Below are 26,556 nucleotides of genomic sequence, written 5' to 3' on the forward strand. Positions count from 1 at the left end.
CAAAATCAGCCCTGGCAACATAGCAAGAACCCATCTCTACGAAACCATTTAAAAATAGCTGGGTATGGTGATGTGGGCCTGTAGTTCCAGCTATTGGGGAGACTGAGGTGGGAGGATCCCTTGAGCCCAGGAGTTCGAGGTTGCCGTAATCTATGATCGTATCACTGCACACTCCAGCCTGGGGGACAGAGGGAGTCCCTGTCTTGAAAAACAAACAAAAAACCACACATATATTTTAACTGAGTTTTCTATTACTTGTAGCCAAAATATCCTTCTTTAGTGCTTTACTTAGAAATGGCTTTCACATACACTTTTAAAAAATAATAGACTGTTTTTGATAATAGTTTTAGGTTTATAGGAAATTGAACAGAAAATATAGTTTCCATATACACTTCCCACCCAACCCCCATTTTCCTTTATTATTAATGTTTTGCATTAGTGTGGCACATTTGTTACAACTGATGAACCAGTATGAACTAAAACCTGAAATTTATTAGAATTAGAATTTACTCTTGTACATTCACGGGTTTTGACAAATGTGTCCACCCACCCTTACAGTACATCCTTACAGCACAGTTTCACTGCCTAAAAATCCTCTCTGCTCCATCTACTCATTTTACCCTCCCTTCAACCCCTGGCCATCACTAATCTTTTTGCTGTCTCCGTAGTTTTGCGTCTTCCAGAATGTCATATAGTTGGAATCATACAGTATGTAGCACTATAAGACTGTTCACTTAGCAATATGCATTGAAGTTTCTCCACGTCTTTTCATGGCTTGATAGTTCATTTCTTTTTATCATTGAACAATATTCCATTTATTCATTCACCTATTGAAAGACATCTTGGTTACTTCCAAGTTTTGGCAATTATTAATAAAGCTGCTATAAACATTTGTAAGCAGGTTTGTGTTTTCAACTCATTTGGGTTGAAATATTTTCTCTCAGTTTGAGGCTCATCTGTCATTCTCTTAACAGTGTCTTTCACAGAGCAAAACTTTTTAAGTTGAATGTGTTGGGAAAAAGCTGAATGTTGGGAGGGAAACTGAGGCAGGGCCTGCCTAATGTCCTCTGGAATGTGTCTCGACTTGCTGGCTCCTTGCTTCTAGCCCTCCTAGGCTCCTAGTCTCCTATTCCCATTATCTCAAGTAGCAGAACATGTTCCATATAAATGTTGAACCATCACAGCTGTAAATCATGTGCTTAATGCAATGTGCCCTTTTGACCTCCAAATTCTCACCACCTGTTTCTTTCTTGGATTACCAATAAATAGCGTGGGCTCCCAGAGCTTGGGGCCTTCGCAGCCTCTGTAAACTAGATGGTGTCCCACCTGTCTCTCTCGAACTGTCTTTTTCTCCATCCTTTGGCTCCGCCGGACTTTGTCACCCCCACGACCTGGTGTTGGGTCTGATCACCCCAACAGAATGAAGTTTCTCTTGCCAATATTTTCCTTCATTGATCATCCTTTGGTGTTGTATCTAAAAAGTCATCCCCAAAGCAGAGATCATCTAGATTTTACCTGTGATATCTCCTAGGGGTCTTATAGTTTTATATTTTACAGGTAAGCCTATGATCCATTTTGAGTCAATTTTTGTGAAAGATATAAGGCCTATGTCAGGATTCATATTTTTACATGTTGATGTACATGTGTTCCAGCACTATTTGTTAAGAAACAACTATCCTTTCTCCATTGAATTGCCTTTGCTCCTTTGCCAAAGATCAGTTAACTGTATTTGTATGGGTTTATTTCTGACCTCTCTCTTGTGTTCTATTGATCTATTTGCCTCTTCTTTTGCCAATACCACACTGTCTTGATAACTGTAGTTTTATAGTATGTCTTGAAGCTGGGTACTTTCAGTCCTCCAAGTTTGTTTCTCAATATTGTATTGGCTATTCTGTGAGGGTTTTGTTGTTGTTGTTGTTGTTTGTTTTGCCTTCCCCTATAAACTTTAATTGTCATTTTTATTTTTATTTATTTTTTTGACGGAATCTTGCTGTCTCACCCAAACTGGAGTGCAGTGGTGCAGTGGTGCGATCTCAGCTCACTGCAACCTCCTCCTCCCAGGTTCAAGCAGTTCTCCTGCCTCAGCCTCTGAGTAGCTGGGATTACAGGCACCTGTGACCTCGTCTGGCTAATTTTTGTATTTTTAGTAGAGATAGGGTTTTGCCATGTTGGCCAGGCTGATCTTGAACTCCTGACCTCAGGTGGTCCACCCACCTTGGCCTCCCAAACTGCTGGGATTACAGGCGTGAGCCACCACACATGGCCCCTATAAACTTTAGAATCAAGTTATAGATAACACGTATGCACTCTTTGAAATTCACAACTCTGACACAGTGGTATGGCAAAGGTCATTTAATTTACCCATTCAGGGTGAGCTGAGGCCCAAGGCAGTTAAGAACTTGTCCAATGTCATAAACAGACTCAAATTCAGGTCTCCACTGCCAAACCCCCAGCATTTTTCTCTCTACTGTATCTCCAGACAGAACAATGAAACATGTCCATGTACTGGCTCCAGCTGATTGCCTCATATACCTGGCCTGGATGCAAAACAGAACCCAGTATTTATCAGAAACACAGATCTACTGCACAGCAACCTGCCTGTAAAGCTACCAACAGTTCAGAGTGACTGGGAAACTGACAGCTTGTGGTGTTAAGAGGGCAGGGAATGAGGAAGTTGGCACCTCCACATGCCAGAAATGAGAGCGGTCAAGCTGTTAGGATGTGGCTCCCTGAACTGTCCTTCAAAAACCAAATGGCTCACTGGAACTATCATTAAGATACTAAGATACCAAGTAAATTATCTGTGCTAAAATACAGCTATTTCACAAGTACATCTCTAAAGCTGAGTGGGAAATTAGTCTCTTGTATCATGTATGACATGTGACACTTCTTCCCAAACTGACATCTAAAAAAATCTATTTTTCTATATATTTTTTTCTTGTTAGAGAAATAATACCAGTTTTAGGAAAAAAATTTAAAAATGCAGAAAACTATAAGAATAAAACCAAAATCATTTATTTGTATCACACTAAGGTAACCACCATTACAAATTTAGTGTTTTCCTTTTAGTTTTTGTTCTATGTTTATACCTAGTATCTGAGGATTGTTCTTTTTAATTAATTTTAATTAATTATTTCACTTGGCCCACTGTATTGGGATGTGTGTATGTCTGAATTTCTTGTTACAGTATCATAGGCATTTCCTATGACATTGCATATTTTCATGATGACTTTCAATGGTTGCATTATATTCTATCATATGGCTCAATAATTATTCATTTAATTATGTTAGAAAATTTGCTACTCAAAGCACAGTCTTGTACATGTCTTCATTTATATCTCTGATCTCAAAATTGTCCTTAAGTAAGGACAAGGATGCTTTTTGTCTTAGGAGGCAGCTCTCTTCAAAGATTTTGTTGTCAGTTTTGTCAAAATGTGTGTGTTTTTAACACATTAATGCCATATTTTTCCCACTGTCTTCACATCTGAAAACAATGTAAGACGCTTAACTTGTCTCTTTTCCATCAGTTTGTTTGTTTTTACCCTTCTGGTAGCTCTCAGCCAGATACAAATGTCTTTTTTTAAAGTTAAGATAGAGATGTGGGACAGTGACCTTTAAAATGGAGATCCTCAAATGAAAACTAAACCAAGTAACTGTCAAAAAAACAAAAAACAAAAAACAAAAAAAAACCCATACAGACTTGTCATTAATAAGGACCTGCCAGACAGAGCTTGCCAATGGTTTCAATGCTTCTGTGCATAAGAATTACTGAGATGGCCTGAAAAACTTTTTCTTCCAATTTCAATGAGTTGAATTTTCTCACTTTTGAAATGTGCAAATATAAACATAATAAAATGATAATGAAATGGGAAAAAATCCAACTTATTTTTCTCTTCTTCCCTCTTCTGAGAATATATAAGGCTGATGGCTGAACTCTTTCTTTTGCCATCTTAATTACCTTTTTCTGTCCAGTTTATCAAATCTGTGCAGTCATTTGCATTGAGTGATTGAAATCATCTAAGGCACTACACTAACTATATTTTTAAAGCAATGTTTAAACTGTATATATAAAGTGTCTTAAGGTGGAGTGGGTAATTGATTGACTACTGGTATAATTTTAGAGTCACCAAAGAGCACATCAACCTTAATATACTTTCCCACAACCCCAGTCACTTCCATATTATGTGACCTTTATTACAAGAAAGGAATACTATAGGCTAAAATTTCTTGTAGATACATGCAAAAATGCTCAGCAAAATATTAACAAATGAAGCCAGCAACATACATAAAGAATGACAAAATGGAGTGTATTCTAGGAATACAATAATAGTTTAGCATTTGAAATCAAAAAGTGTAATTCATTATATTAACAGAATAAAGAAGCAGTGCAATATGAACATCTCAGTAGTTGAAGGAAAAGCAATTAGCAAAATTCAATATCCACTTATGATAAAAAAAATCAGCAAACTGGAAATAGAAGGAAACTTCCTCAATCTGATGAAAGGCATCTATTAAAAAATCTATAGTTAACATTAAATTAGCTAAACTCTGAACATTCTCCCACTAAGATTGGGAATAGGGAAAGATGTCTGTTCTCATCATTTCTACTTAACATTATGCCAAAAGTCCTAACCAGTGCAAGAAGGCAAGAAGAAAGAAAGGACATAAAGATTGGAAAAGAAGAAGTAAAACATTATTTGAAGACCATATTATTTTTTATGTAGAAAGTTCTAAGAAATTGAAACAAAAATTAATAGAACTAAAACATAAGTTTAGCAAGATCTCAGGATATGAGGTCAACATGCAAAAATCAATTGTACAGTATTTCTATATACTAACAGCAAGCAATCGGAAACATTTTTATCCATTTGTAATAGTGTCAAAAATAAAATGCTCAGGAATAAATTTGACAAAAGACATGCAAAATATGTTGAAAACTACAAAACATGGGCTGGGTGTGGTGGCTCACACCTGTAATCCCAGCACTTTGGGAGGCTGAGGCAGGAGGATCGTTTGAACTCAGGAGTTGTAGACCAGCCTGGGCAACATGGTGAAACCCTGTGTCTTGCAAACATACAAAAAAAAAATCAGCCAGGCATGGTGGTGTGCACCTGTGGTCCCAGCTACTAGGGAGGCTGAGTTGGGAGGACCACTTGAGTCTGGGAGGTGGAGGTTACAGTGAGCTGAGATCACACCACTGCACCCCAGCCTGGGTGACAGGGTGAGACCCTGACAAAAAAAAAAAAAAGAAAAAACATTACTGAGTAAACATTTAAAAGACCTAAATAAATGCAGAGATATACCATTTTCATGGAACAGAAGGCTCAATATTGCTAAGATGTCAGTTCTTCCCCTGTTGATTTATGGAGCCAATGCAACCCCAGTGATAATACCTGTATCTATAAGGTATACCTCACACCTGTATAAGTATAGGTCAATTGATTTTTTTTTTTTTTTTAGATGGAGTCTTGCTCTGTTCCCCAGGCTGGAGTGCAGTGGTGCAATCTTGGCTCACTGCAACCTCCACCTCCTGTGTTCAAGAGATTCTCCCACCTCAGCCTCCCAGTAGCTGGGATTACAGGCATGTGCCACCACGCCCAGCTAATTTTCTGTATTGGTCAATTGATTTTAAACAAAGATGCCCAATAAATTCAATGAAAAAAGGGAAGTTTGTTCAACAAATGATGCTGGAACAATTGAACACACACATACAAATATATATTTGAGTATGTGAACATATATGTGTGTGTATATAAATATATATATATGTAAAGATAAAGCTTGGCCCCATCTTATACCCTACCTACAAAAAAATTAATTTGAGGTAAGTTATATACCCTAATATAAGAGCTAAAATGATTACACTTTTAGTAGAAAACAGAGTAATATTATAAGCTAAAAAAATCCTAAGCTCCCTAACTGAACAGACCCCCTCTTAGCCAAGGGGACTCCAGTGAAACCCACAAATCTGAGTTCTTTGTTATGATGAGAAGCGAAGTCAGTCACGCCTCATCATGGAGCGTAGGCACAAGTGACCAACATTAATGTTAAAATAGAAGTCATAAGACTGACAAAACAGGCTTTTTGTGGTAATAGAATACCAAATTACAAAAAAACCTAAGTCTATGCAAGGCCAGGGTTAAGTCACACACCATAAAATCCCGTTAATGTGTCTCTGTGTGTGTGTGTGTGTGTGTGTGTGTGTGTGTCTGTTTTAAGTAACCTGGTATAATGTGGCTTACCTTCCAACCAGACTCTAGTGTAGCATCACATGACAGATAGCAGACTGTGTATCTTAAGCTTTTTTTTTTTCTACTGACTTCAAGTATTTAGATAAAGCTTCACTGCTTCAAACCAATTGCTAACTAAAGAACACCTAAAACCCACCTATGACTTTAAGCCCCTACTTTGAGATGTCCCACCTTTTCAGGCCAAACCAATATATACATTCCATTGATTTATGATTTTACCTGCAATTTCTGTCTCCCTGAAATATATAAAGCCAAACTATAACCCGATTGCCTTGGGCTCACTTTTTCAGGACCTCTTGAGACTGTGTATCCCTGAGCTGCAGTCACTCATATTGGCTCAGAACAAACCCTCTTTAAAACGTTTTATAGAGTTTAAACTATATTCTGTTAATATCTTGTGAGATTATAAAAATACATATATATGGCCTCTGCCCTGGTTTCCTGGCACACCTCTCTGAAAACACTTGGAATCTCCAAAGTGAAGTTTTTTCAAGATATGCTAATAAAATGACTGATGGGTGGGGACTCCTGAAGAGATGGGGACTGATTGCCAGAGGAACCAATCACGTGATTAGGGGTTGGAACTTTCAGCACCACCCCCAGTCTCCAGGATGGAGGGGCTGAAGATTGAGTTAATCACCAATGGCCAATAATTTAATCAATCGTGTCTCTGTAGTGAAGTCATTATAAAACCCTAAAGGACAGGGTTCAGACAGCTTCTAGGTTGCTGAATACATGCAGGGAGGGTGGTGTACCACAACTCCTGGAGGAAAGAAAAAGCTGAAGAAAAAAGTTTTTAAAAATGGCATCCCAAGGTGGCTGCAGGCAGGATATACAGTTAATAACTGTGAACAATTAATATAAACTAGGCCTATGAACAAAAGCTGAAATCTCAGCCTGCAAGCCTAGAATATGTCAAATATTCCACTGACCTGTGTTGATGACAACCTTGCCTATAGATGAAGAATAAAGGCAAGATAAAATCAATCATCCCTCCCCAGACCCCGAGATGCCTACATACATGTTAATCTTTTACTCTATATACCTGAACCACATATTTGCTTTATCTTATTTATAACAACACTGAGCACCATTTAGAGTTGTAAGAATGTCACCTTTCCTTCTCGGCCACCTTCTCATTTTCTGTGAAAGAGAATGTATAAGTACTGTGCTTCGGGTAGTCCACTCCAGGACACATTCTTGGTTTGCCCTGAGACTCTGTTTCCAGGGTACAGTTAAGAAATTCTGACATTCTGGGATGGGCCATTTGGAGGTGTATTTGCATAAGGACCAATGTAAACTTGGGAGAAGTTATCTAGAGGACTTTTAGACAAATGGTCAGATCTTAAGGCTCCTCAATTAGGACTCTCAACCAAAAGGAAGATCATTGTCCACCTCTAGGAGAGCCCAAGATAGCAAAGAACTTACCCAGAGGTAAGAAGGCCCCAGGACACTGGTTGATTGGAGGGGGAGAAAGATGCTTTTGAATGTGACACTGTGTTGGTCCTTATAGACGTCCTCTGATCAGATCAAATGGAGTTGGTCTTAAGTTTCCTGATGGAGGGAGCTATAAAAAAATGAGAAAACAAAATCACATGTTAGTGAATCCTCGTAAGTGACAGCAACACTGCTGAGAGAGCCCTTCCCCATCTCAGGAGGTGTGATACTGACAAGGTGAAGCTCCAATGGCAATACCAAGGTCAATCCATGAGGCAGGCATAGTAACATTTTTAGGAAACTGAGCAAGCCAATAAGTTGCATTCTTTTCTTCCAACAAATTCCTGAATGAATTGAAAAAGAAGATACAGGGATGAGGTGGATGAAGAGGAAATGATTATTTTTATTACTATTGAAGTTGATGTAGAAGAATGTGAGTTTTATCTGGAGGCAGATGGAATTCCCAAGGCTAAACTCCAGAACTAGACAGACTTACCTACTCAGCCACAGGTAGTTCCAGACCCAAACCAGTTTTTATTATTCAATTTCCCCGGTTATCCTTGCATTGCTATGGTCTGAGAAAGCAAGAATTGTACCTTTTTTATTTTTTAATTATGGAAAGTATAACACATTACAAGAGTATAATAAACCTCAACGTAACTGTGAACCAAAAGGTTAAATAACGGGGCCTCCAAATAACCCACCCTAGAAGGTCAGAATTTCTTAACTGACTCTGCAGATGAGGCTTTCTCCTGTCGGAGTTGTAGATTTATAAGAAATGGATCTCTGAGGATCTCTCCTCAGCCAGAAGACTAGGTCAGAGAGGTTGGGTGACTATCAAGGATTCCCAACTAGGAAATAGCATAGGTTAAGTAGAATTGAGATACTCTAATTCCCAATCCAGAATTAAAAGTCTTATCTATAAAGATACGCTCTTAAGGAATTTTTTGTTTGAATGAAAGGAAAGAAACCCAATGCAAACTAGTTTAAACTCAAAATGGAATTTATTGGAAGGAGACTGAGGTAGTTCACAGAATCAGAAAAAATACTAGAAACAAGGATACACTGAAAATTTCAGGGAATAGAAGTGTGGACACAAATACCGTTAATACTCTGTCTCTCTTCTCATCTTTTTCTTTTCTTATAGATAGTTCCTCAGAAATTTCATACCAATAATAAAGTCCTTGGGATTACAGATGTGTTTTAAAACCAAATTAGCGCAAATTATGGTTATTCTTATAAATGCATTAGAATTATATTTATATTGAAGTGCACAGAATGTTTTTTCCTCTTTTGTCCTGGTATTACATTTAGAAAATTTACTATTAAAAAATTTTAAAAGGCGATACCTTGATACTTCATTGTTCATCTTTCCTGGGACAAGTTATCACACTTATCTCAGTCTGCCTTAACATTGGCTTATTTCAGTATCAGACTCCTCCACTAGATAGTCTCCTTTCCAGCTTTAGGTTTGCCACTCCCCTTGAGTATCACTGCATTTCATTTGCACCCTCACCAGTCAGGAAGATTAAGTTAAAATTCACTTTCTGTTGTTTATATTACAAAAACAATAAGTATTTTTTCACACACATCCTGTCCCACCAACCTACCACTCTTTGGTGTGTGGGATGTTAGGAAAGGCAGTCATGGGCAGTTCGTTGGACCCTTGCAAGCTGTGTAAGAATGTACATTGGGCCTGGCACACTTCCTTTCATGCTGATAAGGACCCTTTATGGCCTGTGCTGGGCTTATTGTCTTCTTTGGGAGGATTTCTCCCTATTCCGGGCTTGATGTGTACTTCAGTGTTCTGCTTAAAGTATATGGGTTATATGGCCCCTGGCCAACCACACTGCTATGGAGGAAACGGGTCCTTTACTTGCAGCACAAGAAGGGTGCATGCAGACCATCTCCCTGCGTCATCTGCAAGGTGAGACCTGCTGGCCATGGGGGACCCATGCTTACTATTAAGCCTGATCTTGTCTCTTCGCTATGTGAGTAAAGCCTTGTTCCCTCCAGTGCCTGTGACTTGATTCTTTGAGTCTTTCCCGGTGATCCCGATGCCTGCAAACCATGCAATGGGTTGACATCTGGGGCCTCTTCCTCCTGGTGGCAGGCATTGTTATGCTCTTTCCTATCCTCCCCACAGTGGGACTTTCCTAGAAAGAGTGACAGGGGTCACTTGCTCAGCAGAGGGGGATGTTGGGAGCATGTGGGATATGCCCTTCCTGCATATCACTTGAGAAACACTATCTGTAGAACATACTTATTTTAATTCCTTGCCATTCCTACCTTTTCATAGATGCCCAATACATGGTACTTGAAGTACATTGGCCTGTAATAAATACCACCTCAAAGATCCCGCTGGGCAACTCGGAGAGCCGCAGCCCCACTCCTAGAGCCATTTCTGCGGCATCTTCTCTGTGGAAGAGGAGGATGCTCCTTCACCTCAGCCCTGACCCCCCAGGGACAAAGGTGGCTTGCCTGAGGCAACCAGCCCACAATCTGATTACCGCAGCTTCCCCTGGAGATGGAGTCACTGACCCAAAAAGAACAAGGGCTGAGGTTCCCAAACCCTCACCTCAACTGCAGGTCTGATCTAGTAGCACATCCAGACATTTAGCTGGGCTAAGTATCTGTAGTTAAGACTGTAACAAAATCGATCAATGACCTGCAGTCCTTCCTTGCTTGTCCAGTAGATTAAAATGAGGTGGGGTGAAAACATATGATGGTATCAGGGAGCTGGCATTATTGGTAGTTCCAGACTGTCCTGTACTTGACATGCAAATGAAGAGGGAAGACGAATGCCTTAGGTTTTGTTCTATACACACAGCTATGGTTATGGCCATAAAGCCCTTGCTTTCTAACTCAAAGCTGTCTCCTTGTTCCTACAACAAATGCATGACTTACTCACTGAAACAAATCACAGAGTCCGTATATAAATGCATCGCTAGAGATTTCGACAAGAAGAAGACCCAAAAAAAGACTGTTTTTCCCTGCTCAGTGAAGATGTCAGTCAGCGCCCAAGCATTCCGGGAATGTGACGGAAATTGCATATACAGAAAAGTATGCTGTTAGTGTATTAGTAAGGGTGACCTATTCTTTTAGGCTATTCAGAGAAATAACTGTCATTTGCAGTGATTTTAGTCAACTGTTCTCTCTATCATTTTGTGTAATTAGGGACAGCCATTTTCTCAAGGGTAGCAAAACATGCAGAGATTCAGTTTTCCCCCCGCCCTGTAGAACAGCTCCATTTCTGTAAGCCTCAGAACGTTAATGGTCTTTGAGCAAAACAAGTCACTGAGGCAGCCGTGGCATCAACATGGAACATGAGGGTAACCAGGCAGAGAGGCACAGCTGACATGTGTAATCAGCTCCGTGGGCAGAGGAGGGATGAGTGACGGAGCTGTTTGCGGAATGTCCTACCTGTCCATCACTGGTGCCAAAATGCCCTCTTGGATATTCGGCCTCTTATTTTTCTCTCTGGAGATCAGAGCCCCTAAGGACATCAAAGCTTTATGTATTTTAACATGTCAGAGGAGAAAGTGATAAAATTTTCCTGCCACACAGGGTAAAGGGAATTTAAATATGTAATTGTTTTCAGAAGTTGCTTTGTTCTAGCACTACCCTTTTATCTACTGCTCTGAGAAATGACTTCATTTAGCCAAACTCTTCCCCTCCTGCCTCTACCACAGGCTTTTTCAAAGCATAAGCCACATGGCTTCGCTTCATTAGCGTCTTTGTTTGTATACCAGCATCATTGATGATATCAGTTATAGTTCTGGGAGTATGGTTTGTTCATACATTAACCATCATTAGGAACAAATAGCAAACAGCTTTTCTCAGGAGCAAAGCCCATTCCCTGAGCTGACACTTAGAGCCTAAGAAATGAAGCTCCATCTAGGTACTGTTTATGCCTGATTCTTAAGCTTTGTTTTACATTAGCTCTGGTGTAGTCTCCTGAGTTTAGACAACTAACCCCCTATGCCAGTGTAGAAAGAGCTGCTGTTGTTGTTTTATGAGATTCACAAACAGTGTCCTTGTCACTGACAGCACCTAGAAGTCCCAGAGTCTTCGTTTTTTATGCTTTTTAGCTGTTTCAGGTTGTCATTAAGTCATGGATGATCTTACCTGTGGCATCCAGAGACTAAGTGAAGTCTTGGCTCTCAACACTTCAATTTACACAGCTAAATACTTTAAAAAAGAAGAACATATATATTAAGAAACAATCCTTTGATTGTAGATTTGGTATCTAATAAGTGATAGGGTTTGGCAATAAAAATCAAACAATTGTATTACTAGCATTGGAAGAATATGATTAAGAACTCTTCCAGGCTGGGCATGGTGGCTCACGCCTGCAATCCCAGCACTTTGGGAGGCCAAGGTGTGTGGATCACCTGAGGTTAGGAGTTCGAGACCAGGCTGACCAACATGGTGAGACCCCCCCCGCCCCCCCCGCCACCCCACCGTCTCTACTAAAAATACAAAATTAGCCAGGCGTGGTGGCAGATGCCTGTAATCTCAGCTACTCAGGAGGCTTAGGCAGGAGAATCCCTTGAAACCGGGAGGCAGAGGTTGCAGTGAGCCGAGATGGTGCCATTGCACTCCAACCTCAGTGACAAGAGCTAAACTCCGTCTCAAAAAAATAAAAAAAAGAACACTTCCAATAGGAGTTACTTTCTCCAGTGCATTTCCTGTGACTTGATTTATCTGAGTGGTGAAAGACCTACTTCTGAAGAGTGGTAGATGATAGATACGGTGTAACTGAATCAAATCCTTCAGCTGATGCATTTTCCCAGTCATCTAAAATCCACAGTGCAAAGCAATCCATTGATTACTAAATTTTCAATACTTTTTACAACTAACTCTCATATTCGCTTTATGTTTGATTGATTTCTTGGGCCAAGGCTATTAATGAAACAAAAACGAGTCTAAAACAGTAGATTCCTTGAAACACACACAGACATGGCCAAAAACCTTGCTTCCTCTCTTTCCAGCATAACTTGATTATCTGTAAATGGTGACAGACACTTTATCTGTGATCTGAACTGTCCTATTATTAAGTGACCAAAAAGATTAGCCATATGTTTTTAGTCTGATGCCTCAGGTCAAATGTATTGTGGACAAAAGAGATAGGAACAAACCTTCCCTGTGCTAACAGACCATATCTGCTTGAATTCTTCCTTACCTGTGATGCAGGCAGAAAATTTCTGTACTGTGGCTGACAGTCTGCGGGTCAATGTGAGAGGGGGTCCTTAGGGAGGATGTTCCATGCCCCAGGGAGAAGCCTAGGACTGTGTAGAATTCTCTCTGCAGTTTACGTGTTGCTGGAATACCCCTGCTCCCCAAGGAGAAGCTGGTAGTTGGCAACGAGCAATGTTTGTGTACTTAGCCACAATGTCACAGACTTAACCTGTGGCAGGTATGATGTCTGCCAAAAACAGACAGGTCTGTCCTTGCAAAGCTTGATATTCTGAGGTTATATGACTCACTTTAGATATAATTTTGCAATTCAGCTAAGCTACCATGGATAATGAATGGTATAAACCAGGGGTTTAGCAAACTTTTTCTGTCAGCTCTGTGGGACATATAGTTTTTGTTGCAACTGCTCAGTTCTCTTATTATAGCACAGAAGCGCCTATCCACAATATGTAAAAGAATGAACACGGCTGTGTTGCAATTGATTTCATTTTGAGACAGGGTGCGACTCTGTCTCCCAGGCTGGAGTGCAGTGGTGCATTCTTGGCTCCCTGCAACTTCTGGCTCCCAAGCTCAAGCGATCCTCCCACCTCAGCCTCCCCAGTAGCTGGGACTACAGGTGTGCGCCACTATGCTCAGCTAATTTTTTTGTATTTTTTGTAGAGACAGAGTTTTGCCATGTTGCTTAGGCTGGTCTCCAACTCCTGAGCTCAAGCGATTCCCCCACCTCAGCCTCACAGAGTTTTGGGATTACAGGTGTAAGCCACCATGCCCGGCCACAATTAATTTTATTTACAAAAGCAGGCAGTGGGCTGGATTTGGCCTGTGGCCCATAGTCTGCCAACCCTTGCTCTAGAGAAGTTGCCTTCAATTCTTTTGATTTTGCATGCTATCAGTTTAAATAAAACAAAACACTCACATACATACAAACCCACAATGCCTTAAATATGAACCCCCAATACTGTATACTGTATATTTTTATTTATGTATAAATTATATACAAGTACGAATGTGCTAATATATTGTCTTCATAATAAAACATTTAAGAAAATTTTTTAAAATGAGATATAGATGCATAATGCTTTTGAATGTAAATTTAATTGTGACGACTTCATACTATCATTTCCTAAGAGCTGAAAGTACAATATATACTGAGGGCTAGGTTCACAGTTTATGTCAGAAGATTTAAATCCATAATTCCAATAGTTTTCTTGGTAATTGAAAAAAATTTGGCTAACTTTCTATTAGATCTAAATAGGTCCTTGTTTTTGTCTTGTGAAGTCACTGGCAAAAAACTGAAACCATTTTTTATTATAACAACATATTATTTGCTCTACACTAGAGACTGCCCTAAGAGTTTCAAAAATATTAGCTTATTTAATTATCATAACAGCCCTGTGTGATGGGTACTATTAGTAACCCCTTTTTAAACATTTGAAACCCGTAGCACACAGAGGTTAGGTAACTTGCCTGAAGTCACAGCTGCTAGGTGGCTGGCTCCAGAATCCTTGCTCTTATCTACTGAATTAAGCTGCCCAAGCAGGCATAGGGGAAGCATTAGCTCTTCCACTTTCTTGCCCTCCCTTACACTTTCACTATTAGAATTCAACTTCGGTCCACACTTTCAGGAATATCACTTGTCTATTTGGTGTATGGTGACTTTAAGTCAAACTGGATAATGTAGTCCAAAAATCCACTTAACCAGGCACATGTAAACCGCAATGTACATTGCAATATAATGAATGGAAGTGAATGAATGAGGGCTCCACTGTCAAACCCTCAACCTTATGGAATTCCCTCTTCCCCTTTAGGAAAACCAGAGAAACGTGTCCATCTGATAGATGGACTAACTGAGGGTGCCAGGGTCAATTTGAATATTAAAAATTATTTAGCCTTAAATTTTTCTTATATTTTTGAAATATAGAAATCCTAACATATTCTTTGAATCCCCTGGTCATCTTGGGTACCTCTTGAGATATTCCATCCACAATCATCTACAGGAGTGATCTTATGTCCCAATTATATTATACTGTGTCCCCAATAAAATGTTGACCTTGTGTACAGTAATAAACATAATAAAGACTAATCTACACCATGATTAGCATTACATTCAAATAATTGCAATGGTACAGTCAGATGTCATTGCACTAATCTTCAGCTATTATTAATCATTTTGTTAACTTAAAACCCTGCTCCTCTCTTCTGGACTTAGAAAATAATCTGCAAAGGGACTTGAGCACTGGGCAGCAGCTTGTTGTGAAATATCTCACCCAGCAGTATTCCTTCTACTTCCAATTTCTCAGTCTGTGGACTGGTGCTTAACACTCTCGACTGGTTCTCACACTTACCTGCATACCACAATCACCTGGAGGGCTTGTTATAACACAGATTACCCTGGACTGGAGTTTCTCATTGGGTAGATCTGGAATGGGCACCAAGAATTTGCATATCTAACGCGTTCACAGGTGATGGTGATGCTGCTGCTCCAGGTGCCACACTTTGAGAATCACTGCTCTAGATAACTATCTGGTCCAGCTCTCCCCAGGAAGGAGAAATTGGCTTTCAGTTGTCTATGTAAGTTTTCTATTCCAATAACCTTGTTTTCAGCCATCAATCTTGATCTCACATCAACCGCATATCCCAGGTGAACCACTTAGAGCTATTCCTGCTGTCAGCCCGTATTCCACGCCAATTCCGGCTCAGCCCTTGCTCAGCAACAACCCACTACCAGGCCTATCCTCAGCAGTAATTCCTGGCCTGTGGTGGAGCAGAAGCTGGCATAATCATGAGAAGAACTGTACAAGGTTGTATGCTTTTCCTTCTTTGCACTCTCTATTCTTATTCCGTTCAGTTTCATATGGTCACACCCATGTTTCAACTATCACCTCAAGGTACGACTCCTAAACTGTACATGTACAGCTCTTACCTCTCTCCTGAGCCCCAGACCTACACATCTCAGTTTCCCACTGGACATCTCTACATTGATGGGCCCTAAGCATCTGAAACTCAATATTATGGGTTGAACTGAGTTTCCCAAAAAGATATGTTGAAGCCCTAACCCCCACTACCTATGAATGTGTCCTTATTTGGAAATAGAGTTGTTGCAGATACAATTTACTTAAGATGAGGTCATACTGGAGTAGGGTGGGCCCTTAATCTAATCTGACTAGTGTCCTTATAAAAGAAGAGACACAGACATGTGGAGAAGAGGTCATGTGATGACAGAGGCGAAGATTGGAGTAATACGCTGGGCACGGTGGCTCACACCTGTAATCCTAGCATTTTGGGAGGCTGAGGCAGGCGGATCATGAGGTCAGGAGTTCAAGACCAGCCTGGCCAACATGGTGAAACCCCGTCTCTACTAAAGATACAAAAAATTAGCCGGGCACAGTGGCACATGCCTGTAATCCCAGCTACTGGGCAGGCTGAGGCAGGAGAATCGCTTGAACCTGGCAGGCAGAGGTTGCAATGAGCCAAGATTGTGCCACTGCACTCCAGCCTGGTGACAGAACGAGATTCCATCTAAAAAAAAAAAAAAATGGAGTAATAAAGCTAGAAGCCCAGGAACACCAAGGACTGCCAGCAAACAGCAGAAGGTAGAAGAGGCGAGGAAAGATTCTCCCCTACAGGTCTCAGAGGGAGTACAGCCCTGCTGCCTTTTTGATTTTAGACTTTAGCTTCCAGGACTACCAGACAATAAGTGTTGGTGGTTTTAATCTACCTAGTTTGTGTGATTTGTTATAGCATCCCTAGGAAATGAATATACTCATCATGTCCAAAACCGAACAGAACAACACCTTTCCTCACCAATAACCCTAACTTGTTTTTCTCCAAAGTTCTTTTTTCAAATAATAGCAACACAGTCTACAGTCCTCTCAACTATATAAACTAGAAACTTAGATTCATTTTATACTTTTTTTTACACTTCACATCTTATAAGCCACTAAATTTTGTTACCTCTATTCCCTATCCAACTTTCTCTTTAACATTGCAACAATTTCCAAGGCACCTCTTTCTTTTTTTCCTTCCTTGTATTTCCAGTAAATTCTTAGTATCTCCTACAGTATTCTATTTACAAGATTAAAATACTTACAGTAATAATAGCTACCCTTTTCTGAGAGTTTACTTTGTGCCTGGAGATGTGCTAAGCTCTTTCACAGATATTTGATCTTCACAATTTGAGGCGGTAACTACAATTATTATCTTCATTTTATGGATTAAAAAACTGGTGCCCACGTTCACAAAGCTATCAAATGTCAGAGTTGGGATTTGAAGTCTTACTCACTCTGTTATACTGTTTGTGGTACATCATGTCACCTCCACAAAGTACAAAGTACTGGCATGGCACTCAGGCCAAGCCTAAGCTATGTTTCCAGCCTGTTACCCTACACATTCCTCTACAACCCTCAGCTCCAGGCACATGAGACTGCCCATCAGTCCCTGAACATGTGATTCACTTTCGTGCCTTTATGGCTTAGGTTGTACGGTTCCCGCAATCTAGAAAGCCAACAAGTTTTCATTGCCTAAAAACCTTCAGATACTTCAGTGCCAAGCTTACCTATTATCTCTTTCACCAACACCCCAAATTAGAATTACCCGTTCCTTCCTCAGGGTTGCCTACTTAGAACTTAGGCCATTCCACCTTGCTTTATAGCTAGTCGTTTGCATGTTTATTTCTCCTACTGTCTTGCTGGCTTCTTAATTCAAGGGCTATGTCATTTAATTTTGTCATTTAGTTTCTTTCCGTCTTTTATAACAGTGCCTCAATCAATGTTTGTTGATTTGAATTGCTAATAACAGCAATAGTAATTACGATAATAATGTCAGCAAGCCTGTGCTAGGCATTCATACTCAACAATTTCAGTAAGATTTGAAAAATAAAGTTTTTTTTTTATTTAGAAACGTTGTATCAGTTTTTCTTTGTCCACAACTGAAAAGAAATTTCTTGATCTATTTACCTATTTTGATATCATACAAGAAGTTTCATTTGAAATGCCTATTCATTTCTATTCGATTTGATGTTTCTGTGAGATGTAGACATTTATTGTGTGGTAACATCCAAATCTGTTCATCATCCTTTAGAAATAAAACACTCATAAAGGGAAGGAGAGGGGAATCCACTTCTTTGCCTGCACCCCAGAACATATTTCCTTTACCCCTGGATCTTGAAGCAGGTCTTGTCCTTGTGAGGTTATGTCACAGCTAGTTTGGACCTAAGCTGGTACTCTGTTACATTTCATGAGAGGAGGTCAGGCTGAATTGAAGATAGTATGTTCACCTCACCACCCTTATGGTTCTGGCAGCTTAAACCTAGCCTTCATTTATTTTGGCGTCCCTGAGAACTGACATAGGATCAAATTCCACACTTTTGAGCAAATGGAAGGAACCCAAAGAAGAAAATAGAGAAGAAGCTAAATGAGCCTTGTGGGAAATCAAGCCAGAGTGGACATTCTGGCAAAGTGGCAGAATAACTTTCTGCTTAAATGAGAAACTATTTAGAAGTCAGTCATGTGCAAATAATTAAACAAAATGGTTATAAATGTGGGTGCCTTAATAAGGAACAGACTGAAGAACATGATTAGGAAATAATTAAAAGGAAAACAGTATTTTCCACAAAGCAGAGAAACGTGGTGAAAAATAAGATAATCACTCTGCCCCCTTGGGCTTTATTTTTTCCCAGCTGGAAAAATATCCCTATTTCTACCCATGATTTGAAATATCTAGAACATTGAATTTATTGACGGGAAATGTATTTACCATCTAATCAGACAAATCCTAAAAGGAAAAGAGTGCTGTACACATCAGAGGTACCCTAGAGACTCAGCTGTTCATAACTCTGCATGAATAGGGCGGAAAGTGCCATATTCCCATTAAAGAGCAACACAGTTGGTTAAAGAATGAACAAAAGGCAGCATTTCTTCATTAGTGTCATTGCAGGAAGCTGATGCTGTGAAAACTGGAGGCCATCAAATGGGTTATTGCAGCAATAAAACAGAATGAAAAAATGAAATGCTCCATTCTCTTGTCAATCCCATATCCTTATCTCTTTCTTTTTAATATACTAGGCACTACCCTGGTAAGCTAATGCATATTTGCGGTTTCGTTTTGTGTTTGGTAATTGTGCTATGGGCAATTATTCATTTGACAGAATTTGCTTTAAATGAAGGAAACTGGCAGGTTGGAAGAAGAAAAACCCAATGTTGCCTAATCACCAATTAAGGAAACTGCCAGAGGTAAGACTGGACCTGGGACTGGTATCAGTAAAAATGATATAATGATGCTGCACTTCAAAAGACATTTTGAAGAGACACTTAATGAAGGAGGTAAGAGAGGAGGATTACAGGGTGGCTAATATATATGACTGCCAAATTTAGACCATGAAGATAGACACAATGGGGTACAGCCATTTTTGCAAAGTTTTGGACATCTAAACAACAAACGTATCCAATTGTGCTGCAGTTGACAGAAAGGCTGATTATCTTCCTGTAAATGGAGAAAGTCGGCCTCATAATCAATTTGTTGAAAACTCCTTATTGTGAAGGGATGTCACCCTGGTAGGCACCAGGGATACCAAAATAAGTAAGCCATAGTCCTGGCCCACTCTCATGAATCTCCTAATCTAGCAAAGAAACAGGCAGGCACGAAGGCTAATTGTATGCAGCTACAAAGGACGAAGCAGGCTGTTCCTCTATATTTCCCAGTGAGTCTCTAATCAGCTGCCCATCAGTATCAGGGTGACCTTTCTTTCTCCCTCACTCTTCTTTCCTGTGGGATCCTTGATTTTGTTCAATTTCTCCAATTCCCCAACCCCAAGATTCAGCTCCATCTGGAGGAGCGGCATCAAATGGAATCTATCTTGGAATTGCTGAAGAGGCTTTAGTTCTCTATATTCACAAATTAATAAACACTTTCCCTCCTGCTAATATTGATTGCTTCTCATGGATTTACTTCAGTGAATTATTATATTAACCAAATCCTTGTCTCTTTACTCTGTCTTACCAAAGAGTCCCCTCCCAAGAAAGTGTGAAGGAGAAAAAGAGGAGAGAAGAAAGCTCTAGCTTGCCCTGGATAACATGCACCAAAATCGTGGTGTAAACAAAGTCATGTGAAATTACTGAGTACTTGGAGGGGGCATCACAAAAGATTCCATGGAAGAAGAGAGGCTGAGTGAGTGGGATGCTTCTGCACAACCCTGTGCTGTATACTGCCAAATTAAAACATGTAAGCTTTGACTTCTGTCCTAAAGAAGCTTTGAATCCAGCCAAGGAGAAAAAATAAACACACTTAAAATTTAAAAATAAAGACAACCTAGAGTTGAATGTGTAATACAAATACATTGAAATTTTTGGAACTGAAATTTATGTCCCTGTTTCTGTGCTAAATCAGACTAGGACTAGGCAAAAGTAACTTAGCTAATGGTTTCTGAAAAAAATTGTTTCTGGAAGTTAATGCTGTGAGCCAACTAAACTAGCTTACTTATCAAAAGACTGACAGCTTGCTTGGCAATACTCACTTTAAGAGCACCCTTTGTGCGGTCATCAGTCCAAAGCTCTCCTGTCATTAACTCTGCTCAATACAAACTAGTTCTCTGCCTTGAAAGACCTGCCTTAAGTCACCCAGCCCTGGCCCTAAAATACTAAGAATATCCTTCTCTCATTTTTCCTCTCTGAGAAGATACTGAGACTGTCAAGGCCTTTACTGCAGTGAATCTAATCAGCTTTGCTTGATCAAAAGACTTTTCTCACGATCTTTTTGGGAATTGGCAGAACAAATCAATAATTTTCCATAAAGACAGATGCCTGGGCTACCTGGTAATTTTTGTAGCCATACAATTTGTGCATAAATACTTCCTTTATTTCTCAATGTATCTGAAGATGGAGCCCAGGAAGAAAGCAATAGCCATGACTGAAAGGTTATGCATCAACAACACTAATAAGGTATTGGTATAAAGAAAAGCATTAATCTAGGAGGTGCCTGGAGACCCTTGGGGGTGGTACTTTTGTTTTCTGGTGGTACTGATGATGGGATGGACTAGGGCTGAGATTGGACACAGCTTTGGGTACGGTTTTATAACCTCATTTAATTTCCTGGGCTCTATTAGCCAAGATTCCTCCTGGAAAAAGAGTAAGTCATGTCAGTGCCCGGGATACACACTGAATTGTGACAAACTAGGGATGGATGGATGCTCCAGGAGAGCCAATTTGCAGAGAGGGCAGGGCACAGAAAATTCATCCGAAGGTGAGAGAACATGTGGAATGAGCGTCAGGGCCTAGGGTCAATGCATGGGCAGGTGTAGGCAGCCCTTGGTCCTGGGACTTACCAGGCCTGGTCATCCTAGCAGCACCCACACTCTGGGAAGTGTGTGGAACTCAGTGAGCCATCTCACTGGACTGGCAACCCCTCAGGGCCCAAGCAACCCTGCTGTGGGAGTCCCCTAAGGGCGTGAAACAGTAGAGGAAGTGTTTCTCTGTTCAACCCTTGACAGGTCAGGGAGCTTGGGGCACAGAGGACTATGAGCAATGAGGGTTGAGTATCTTTTCCTTGGAAGGAGCAGAGGCCCACAGAGGGAGTGCATGTTAGAGTAGCAGAGGCCCGAGAAGGCGGCCCTGAAACATGAACATGTGTCAGACAGCCCCTTCTCCCATACTCTCAGAAGGGCTTCGGGGCTGGGGTTTTAGAAGGAACTGGAATTACTTTTATGAGTCATCAAAGCCCAGAATTAATAAGATTTTGATTTGAATCTCAAGGAACCCCAAGCTTGAGTCCACAGGCTGCTGATGCTTGGAAATGTCTGAGTCACATCACGTAAAATCACTGGTTTCAGGATGATTTCCTGTAGGAGTCCTGGTAGGAGGGAGCTGGCTGGGATAGTCATTGTCATGCATGCCAATGCAGGAGAGGACAGAGCATAATTGCTTCAATCTGTGTCTCTTTTGCCTACTGAATTCCTACTCTCCGTAGACTGATTATAGTGGAGAAACAGTCAAGAGCCTAAGGAATTCTAAAATAATAGAAGCCGGTGGGAACTGGAATAGTCATAGAAAAACATTTGTGGCAGAGGTAGATGACCTGAGAAGGCTAGTAAAAAGAGTGAGAGAAGGGCTTTTACCAATATCTCTGCTTGATTCTGTATATCTGTACGCAGTCACTCTCCAAAGCCTAGGACCCCAGCAGGCAGTGCAGCCACCAGCTTGGAGTCTTTGTCCTTGGGAGGAGGGAAGGAAGGCAGAAGGAGTGACAATGCTGTCACTCTCCAGCACCCACAACTTTTGACTTCCTGGGTGGGTGTTAATAACACCCCAGCCTTTCCAGGGCAGCTCTAATTTCAAATGATCTGTCCCAACGTCTTGGAAGAATGGTAGCCATAAGAAAAGAACCGAGGAGCCATAACCAATGCCATTGCTCCAGTGCTGTCTCTTTGCTAGCTGCACTGTGGGTCCTTGATTGAGTCACTTCTCCTCTCTAACCCTGTTTCCTAGTCTGTAGAAAGAAAGACTAATACTGACCTTATGTAAGCGTGACATGCACTGCTGGCTTTCCTTTTTCCCTCCTTCCATAGTAACAGAAATGCAGCCAGGCACAGGGCTGACCAGCTGGGCCACCTTTCCCCATCTTCTGTGAAGAAGATGAGACTAAGTTCTCTCCAGAAGAATATGATGGAAATGGTGCCTTCCTTTTCCAGCCTGGCCTCTTAATACCAGACCAAGAGATATCATAAGCTTTCCTTTTTCCACTGGCTATGACCCAGGTGAGGCACCTACACAAAATTGGACAAAGAAAGAAGATGGTGAAGACTCTGTTCCCTGAATAATTGAAGGGAAGAGAGCTGCTTGCTAAGCTAGTTTATGAAATAAATAATTTTGCTTGAGCAATTGCATATTTCAAGTCCCTAAAGTTCAATCTTATCCTAATTGGGTATATCTCACAGAACTGTTGGAAGCCAAGGAGAAAAAAGGAGGAGGCAACCTCTTACAAACTGTAAAGTATTTTACAAATATATTATAGCTGCTATATAATTGAATGAACCACTAATGGAAGCAACAATTGTGAAAAACTAAAATTACCCCACTGTCTGGCTGAATTATCCAGCCTAATCTTACTACTCTGAGCAAATTAGGCAAGGATGGTAGGCACATTAGACACATTAGGTGTTTGATATCAAGCCTCTGTTCCTATTAAAACCCCTCCTTTCTGGGGAGTCTCACAAGGTAAGGACCATGGAGCCTAAGGGGCCACATCCCCCGCCCCTGCCTTGGCATGCAACCAGCCTAATATGAGGCTAGCAGGAGTTCATGTCCATTACGCTGCAGAGTGGCAGAGGCAACCTGGACCATGCCTGGGGCTTCCCCTGTGCTCCAGAACAGGAACCTTGACTGATGCCCCAGGCAGTTGTCAGCTCTCCACATCTAAGCTTACTCACAGACACAACCTAAGCAATTAAACAATATCTGTCTTGAAAATCTCCCAATTCCCTTCATTACAGCCTTTCACGAATCCTCTCAACATCCCTCAGAAAGTGGAAAGCAGGTGTAGCTTTCCTAACTTGACAGCAAGCAGATGTTTGGGAAAAGAATTAGGCAGCTCATGAGGGCACACAGGAACAGAGCTGAGCCGAGCGTGGTACAGCTGCCCTGGGCACCTGCATCTGACCAAGGCTGCTAAGCCCAATCTCTACCTAAAAATAGTGTCTTCCCTGCCTGCCAGGAGGCCAAAAATACTAGGCATTACACTGCTGGAGATAACAGAATCATTCCTTTACCTTTCCTAGGAATTATCTTTCTTAAGATGCAAAAAGCTTTGGAGAAGGGGTCTCACACAACCCTTAGGTAAGAATGAGGGGTTGAATGAGACCCTTCATTCTTACCTAAGTTAATGAGTCACAATGGAGGCGTGGAGCCCCTGGGAGGAGGGGCACGCAAAACACCCATTTATAAATGACAGAGCTGGGATAAGAACCCATTTCTCTCCCACAGTAAAGCCTAGACATGCCCTTTCCATGTTACCACACTTGGTCCCTAGAGCTGAAGAGGACACAAGTCAAGAGCATTAATTGGGTCCTCTTTCTGAAACTCCCTCCATTTATTGCAGTGGAACCTCCTGAGGAACAGATTTGTGCTTGAGGTGCTTTTCTGTTAAGTCAACTTTTGCTGTCTCCTCATCAGGATGTTCTGTCACTGAGCAGTGCAAATTATGAAATCTTCCTTAACAGCTCCGGCAACATGAGGCAGCTGAGGGACCAAAGGAGGCTGGACCCCTGGATGCAGTAAAACAGAAGCACGTTCTCATCTGAGCGTTCTGCTATTGCTATGCTCTCCAAAAAGAGGTATACACAACTTTATCTTTGATTTATGCTCCGGCCACCAACTCACATGCTTAGACAAAACAAGACACAGTCTCCGAGCGCTTTAGACCAGTTTTGAAAACAGAAATCTTTTCCTTTTCCCTCAACTTCCTATTTGACACACTTATGTCAGCTTCTGATCTTTCTTTAAATTCTCTCCACTGCCGAGGGCCTTGATTCTCTTAAAGATCAGTCTCTCCTCCCAGCTTACGAAGACTTGATCTTTCTTTGAGATAAGTGTCATTTACTTCTTTAGAGGGGAAAGGAAGATCTAAAAACTTGTTTCTAACTTATACCTTCCCTTTGTTCTATGTCAAGACTGAAATATCTTTACCAAAAGACCACACTAATTACACAGGCTGCTGCTTGCACTGTAGGCAGATGTCTTGAAGGAGTTTTTCTGCAGAGGTAGAACTTGAAATGAGCTCTTGAAACGAGCAGGCAGACCTGGATCTGGAGCTGAGCTTGGCTACTCACTAGCTGTGACAATATGGGTTAGTAACTTAGTGACTCAGTTTCCTGCTCTGAAAAATGGAGATAAAGACCCCTTTCTCACAGGCTTCTTGTAATAATTAAAGTATATCATACATGTTAAATACCTGGAGCTCCATAACTAGTTTCCCTCATTTTCCAACATCCTGTAGATAAAGAATTTGGGGTTGGGTGTGGTGGCTCACACCTGTAATCCCAACACTTTGGGAGGCTGAGGCAGATGGATCACCTGAGGTCCAGGGTTCAAGACCAGCCTGGCTAACATGGTGAAACCCTGTCTCTACTAAAAATACAAAAATTAGCCAGGCGTAGTTGCGTGCACCTGTAATCCCAGCTAGTCGGGAGGCTGAAGCAGGAGAATCACTTGAACTTAGGAGGCAGAAGTTGTAGTGAGCTGAGATGGCACCAGTGCACTCCAGCCTGAGTGACAGAGCAAGACTCTGTTTAAAAAAAAAAAAAAAAAAAAAAAAAGACTTTGGAGGGTGAGGTAGCATTGAGACAACACTGTGGTTTAGCTGCTTGAGATATGGTCCAGGACCGCTTCCATTGTCAAATATAAAGAAGCATTACAGAAGAGATTGCACACTCCCTGTCAGCTCTTGGCTCTCACACAGTGAGATGCTGTAGTCTTAGTGGGATCTCATCAAATAAAACAACAACACAGTGACAGCCTAGTTTAACTGATACTCTAACAAGTTACTCCCACAGTTATTCTAAAATCTTAAACTATAAAATGTCAAGCTGGAGAAGAAAATAGAATGTAACTATTTACTTGTTCTTTTTTGAATTTTTTTTTTAAAAACTTCTGAATAACTACATTTAAACTCTCTTAAATCAAAGCACACTTGAATTTTTATTTGGGTTCTTAAAGATAAACTATGTGTTTCCAAACAGTCCAACATTTGGCACGTTAAGTCACTTAATTTTGTTTGACTAAGGAAGGTATCCATATTAACAGATGGGATGAGGTATAAACAGAATTATGCGTGAAAGCCAGTGTGTGTCTTAGTCTTTATACCTTCAAAATATATAATACGATCATTGAAAGAGTAAGTTTGATTAAGTGATCTGTGGAGCAAAAATGGAAATCTTCATATGTACCGTATGCATAAGGTAATTCCTTTTGTTTTTTATTGCAAAATGGCCTTTGAATTTGATTCTTAGGGAAGGGCCTCTGTTTGGAGCAGGAGCTCTTACATGAACCCCCAGACTCCTTGAAATCATTTGCCAAATTTTGCATGCATATGACTATGTACATTTTTTTTTTATAGAGAGCTTATGTCTTTCAGTAGATTCTCTTTTTAGAAAAACTTCTATTTTTAGGTTTGGGGGTACATGAGCAGGTTTGTTACATAAGTAAACTTGTGTCACAGGGGTTTATTGTACTGAGTATTTTATTATACAGGTACTAAGCCTAGTACCCAATAGTTATTTTTTTCTGCTCCTTTCCCTCTTCCCACCCTCTACCCTCAACTAGGCCCCAGTGTCTATTGTCCCCTTCTTTGTGTTCATGAGTTGTTATCATTTAGCTCCCAGTTATTACCGAGAACATGCCATATTTGGTTTTCTGTTTCTGTGTTAGTTTGCTAAGGATAATAACCTTCAGCTCCATCCATATTCCCACAAAGACATGATCTTATTCTTTTTTATGGCTGCATAGTATTCCGTAGTATATATATACCACATTTTCTTGATCCAATTTGTCATTGATGGGCATTTAGCTTGATTCCATGTCTTTGCTAATGTGAATAGTGCTGCAATGAACAGACGCATGCATGTGTCTTCATGGTAGAATGGTTTATATTCCTTTGGGTATATACCCAGTAATGGAATTGCTGG

At 40.7% G+C, this 26,556-nt stretch overlaps 2 long non-coding RNA genes across 2 annotated transcripts; one reads left to right on the forward strand and one right to left on the reverse strand.

Annotated features, from left to right (window-relative positions):
* Positions 1-4,285: 4,285 nt before the first annotated feature.
* Positions 4,286-23,690, reverse strand: LOC101928940 (uncharacterized). Its single transcript, NR_120567.1, has 3 exons — positions 23,644-23,690; positions 22,391-22,641; positions 4,286-7,818 (listed from the first exon to the last, which is right to left on the reverse strand). It is a non-coding gene; the product is annotated as an uncharacterized LOC101928940 (long non-coding RNA).
* LOC107984391 (uncharacterized) lies at positions 16,398-24,923 on the forward strand. Its single transcript, XR_001748393.1, has 3 exons — positions 16,398-19,207; positions 19,889-24,005; positions 24,094-24,923. It is a non-coding gene; the product is annotated as an uncharacterized LOC107984391 (long non-coding RNA).
* The last annotated feature ends 1,633 nt before the right edge of the window (positions 24,924-26,556 follow it).

This window comes from Homo sapiens, chromosome 11 (assembly GCF_000001405.40).
Source record: "Homo sapiens chromosome 11, GRCh38.p14 Primary Assembly".
NCBI classification, from domain to species: domain Eukaryota; kingdom Metazoa; phylum Chordata; class Mammalia; order Primates; family Hominidae; genus Homo; species Homo sapiens.